The following is a 4,478-nucleotide window of genomic DNA, read 5'->3' on the forward strand; positions in this document are numbered from 1 at the left end:
TAACATTCATGTGTTTCAAAAAGAGTACTGCATGTACAAACACCAAAAATGTCTAAGTCTGATGGTGGGTGCCACGGTTCGGTTCCCAAAAGCAGACTAGAGACATATCTATTAACTGCAAGTGAATGAGAAAGTGAGAGCAAGTGAATGAGGAAGTGAAAGAGGAAAGGAAAAGTTGTCCGTAAAGGGTGATTATTGAGCCACCTTGCACAAGAACGAAGGGAAATTAACTCCATGGAGAAACTTTTGGAGAGCGGAGGAAAACAAATACTTTGGAATTATCCCATTCAAGGGGTGAGGGAACTTGGGTATTCGTGCATATATTCCAGAGAGCGAATGGTTGAGAACTGCTCCTGAGGATCATTAATTACCTGGATCTCTGGCCTGTGACTCATGCTTCTAGGAAGAGAAAACTTCCGTGACTCTGAGAAAATAAGTCCTCATGCACAAAGATGCAGACTCAGGCTGATGGATGTCAGCATGAGGGCACTGACAGGTCCAAGGGAAATAGATGGAGTAATGGCAGCGTCTGCTGCAATGGGTCCATAAGGAATATAGTACATTTCCTTCTTATCATTTACAAACATTTCTTACAGAATGCATATCCATTTTCCTTAATCCAAATGGTCATATAATTACTTGTTTTCTGTGTTACAGTTAGTATTATTGCCTGGTAGGCACTTCTGGCAATAACGATTCAAGATCTCTTTGCAGTAACTCTAGAAATCTTAGGTTGCAAATTCTGTTTTGACATTTTCTTTTCTTTTTCTTTTTTCTTTTTTTTTTTGAGACAGAGTCTCACTCCAGGCTGGAGTGCAATGGTGCTATCTTGGCTCACTGCAACCTCCACCTCCCGGGTTCAAGCAATTCTCCTGCCTCAGCCTCCTGAGTAGCTGGGATTACAGGCACACGCCACCATGCCCGGCTAATTTTTGTATTTGTAGTAGAGACAGGGTTTCACCATGTTGGTCTGGCTGGTCTCAAACTCCTGACCTCGTGATCCACCTGCCTCGGCCTCCCAAAGTGGTAGGATTACAGGCATGAAACACCACACCTGGCCTTATTTGACATTTTCAAAAGTAGTTTTCTGATTCTTCTACAGAAGCTTTGCTGCCATGCAATTAATTCACAGAATGACTTTTCTTCTTTGAAACTGCCAAGTTGAGGTGAGTGTCAAAACCTACATTATTAGGCAGCAGGTACTTTGAACCTGTAGTCTATGTGGTCTCGTATCTTCACTAAGTCACAGTATCTGAGCATGTATGTGCAGATGCAATGGCCATATACGATATAAGATTCATCAGAATTGAAGACCCAACAGATGACAAAACTGGGATTAACAACCCTCTAAAATAAGAAATAACTACCCTCTTAGGACAGAGGAAAACAATCTGGCTCAGTTACAAACACGTTGGCCATTTAATGCAGAGAAGACAAAAGCAAACTTTTTTCTTTTTTTTTTTTTAAAAGTTATTTGAGTCATCATCACTACCTTTCAACTGCTCAAACCCAGAATCCCTTCACCATCAAAAGAATTCACTATTATTATATATACACACAGTCATCAGGATTTCAGAAATGCTAAAATATAGGAAAAAGTCTGCATCTTTGAATAAAGAAGGAAAATAACCTATGCAGAGAGAGAATTTTTTTAAGCAGTGTACAATAGAAATCTCTTGGGAGATAAATATCTTCATCTGAGAAAATGCTTTAATAAACCAAAGAGAAACAGGACACTCCTTGCTGGGTATCAGTGTGGCCAAGTAACAAAACTACAAGGTAGGATGGGATGGAGTTGCTCTACATAATAGAAGATACAGTTTGAACCCCTGGACAATGCAGAAGAGAAGGATTAAGAAGCAAGGCTAAGAGGAACAGAAGAGGAGTCAAACCAATGAAGCTAGGTGGTGGCTGTGTGTGGACAGTAAAATTCTACTGTGAAAGGGTAATACCTACTTGTTTGTTGAGAAGGTGTTTTCGTTTCTAAAAAGTAAATTCTTACTTTTGTGTCCTAAACGATGTTCTCCTCAGTTCAGGAAATTCCATGATTCTCATTATTAGTTTGACATGTTTTTTTTTTTTTTTTTTTTTTTTGCTGGAAATGGAAAGAAAATAAATGAACTGGGATTCAAGCCAAGATGGATGTCGGGAAGGATAGAGATAGCACCTGAGGTTTACAGACCTGGGAAGCTGCAGTGGCTCTGAAACTATAAGCTCCACCCAGAGATGGCAGTGAGGATGCAGTACCTCCATACCCAGAGAATTGAAGGGGGACTGACCCACTTGTATCTATGTACTAAAGGCTTAAGTGACCTTCAACTGAAATTTGACATATATTTATGTAAGTGTGTGTGCTGCTTACCAGTCATCTTACAACTTCAGAGAAAACCTTATTTTTTTCTTTAGGAAACTTCTTATAAAAACACATACCATATATTGATGGCATTTAAAACATAAGTACACATTTTACATATTCCTATACAGTGGGGTTGCATTTTTGCCACTTTTCTTGAATTGCCCTGCAGCCATAATAATTGGTTTTTATTATTTACTATGAGTCAAACCAGTTTGTCAATCAATAGCCCTGAGAAAATGCTAAATGAGAGGAGGAAGAGAGGAGATGGCAAGTGGCCTGTTTTAATTTTTGAAATTATTATTGCTTATGTTTTACAAAATAACTAGATTTTTGTAAAGTATAAAGATGTCACAACCCTATCAGCATGAAGAATGTAGAGAAAAACCTAAATGTCAATGATCATGAAAATATTGTATTTCTTACAGGTGATGTTTATGTTTCATTTTTTGGTAAAAATATGAGTATTGTGATGATACATTTAATAGCTCACATATGAAACCCCGTGGCATGTAGATATTAAATATCATTGCTTATTGAACTATTAATAATTTAGTAGGTTTTTACAATTAACTGGATTATCTATGATAAAGATATAATGAGAAGAGTGAATTATTGGTATGTATTTTATGGTATAGCTTATATTAATTAATTAACTGCATGCTTATTTGATTTTTATAAAAGTATACTGCCTATAAATAAGTACTGAAACATTTCTGTCATAATGTGTGCCACATTTTTAACTGTAGTTAGCTTAGGGTGATGAACTTATGGATGGTAATTCTCTCTCTTCTTATTTTCCTAATTTGTTCCAATTTACTATAGGAGAAAAATGTCTTCTTGAGTTTTAACTTGGTTGTGTTTATTTTATTTAAATGCAGTGTATAGGAAAATAATCTGGTACAAGGTGTAGAAGAATTATAAGAGCTGGAGTCTAATCAGTGCTCAGCAATTTATCAGTAAGTCATCTAAACTTTCTACACTGGAGTTTAATCATCTTTAAAATGGAAGAATGACCTTTCTTTTTTGAAGTTCAAAGAGTATGCTTTGTTTTTGTTCCATTCATTTGTACGTATTTATGGCGCACATGTGCAATTTTGTTACATGCATAGATTGTGTAATGGTCAAGTCAGGGCTTTTAGGGTATCCACCATCTGAATAATATACATTGCACTCGATGTTCAATTTCTCATTATCTGCCCCCCACCCTCAACCCTCCCAGTCTCCATTATCTATCATTCCACTCTCTATGTCCATGTGAAACGCTTTTTAGCATCCACTTATGAGTGAGAACATGTGATATTTATCTTTCTGTGCCTGGTTTATTTCACTTAAGATAATGATCTCCAGTTTCATCCATGTTGTTGTAAAATGCATGATTTCATTTTTTAAATGGCTGAGTAGTACTCAATTGTGTATATATACTATGCTTTTTTTATCCAAACATCCATTGATGGATACTTAGGTTGATTCCATAATTTTGCTGTCATAAACAGTGCTGCAATAAACATATGACTGCAACTATATTTTTGATGTATTGATTGCTTTTACATTGGGTAGATACACAGTAGTGTGGTTGCTGGATTGAATGGTAGTTCCATTTTTAGTTCTTTGAGGATTCTTTTTACTGATTTCCATAGAGAGAGGCTGTATTAATTTACATTCCTACCAACAGTGTGTAGGAGTTCTATTTTCTCTGAATCCTTGCCAACATCTGTTATTTTTTGCCTTTTTAACAACAGCCATTCTGACTAGGGTAAGATGGCATCTCATGGTGGTTTTGATTTGCATTTCTCTAATGATTAGTGATCTTGCACATTTTTTCATATACCTGTTGGCCAGAGAATAATCTTTTTATCTCCTTATGAAAGAGGGGACCATGTTTCTCTATTTTTTTCTGTCTCTTATAAGGCTGTTGCCTATCACAGAGGCAAGCTTGTGCTTAATAAATGCTTGGTGTTTAATACTTAATAAAAATGATAATTATAATAATATCAATAATATATATTTAGTATTAAAATGATAAAAATAAACATGCTTGTGTTTAATAAATATTTGCTGGCTGATTCAAGGAATGAGGCATGCATGAATGTTTTGAACTACTCAGCAAGAACTCAAGCTAAGG

General features: G+C 36.1%; 1 annotated feature.

The window, feature by feature from the left end:
• Positions 956–1,125: an enhancer, noted in NCBI's record as "experimental_69363 CRE fragment used in MPRA reporter constructs". NCBI's record gives its function as "activates a minimal promoter by MPRAs in K562 erythroleukemia cells, with activity observed for both the introgressed and non-introgressed 3:30312369 variant alleles {active_cell/tissue: K562}" and the evidence as "EXISTENCE:reporter gene assay evidence [ECO:0000049][PMID:34662402]".

This window comes from Homo sapiens, chromosome 3, assembly GCF_000001405.40.
Source record: "Homo sapiens chromosome 3, GRCh38.p14 Primary Assembly".
Lineage (NCBI taxonomy): Eukaryota > Metazoa > Chordata > Mammalia > Primates > Hominidae > Homo > Homo sapiens.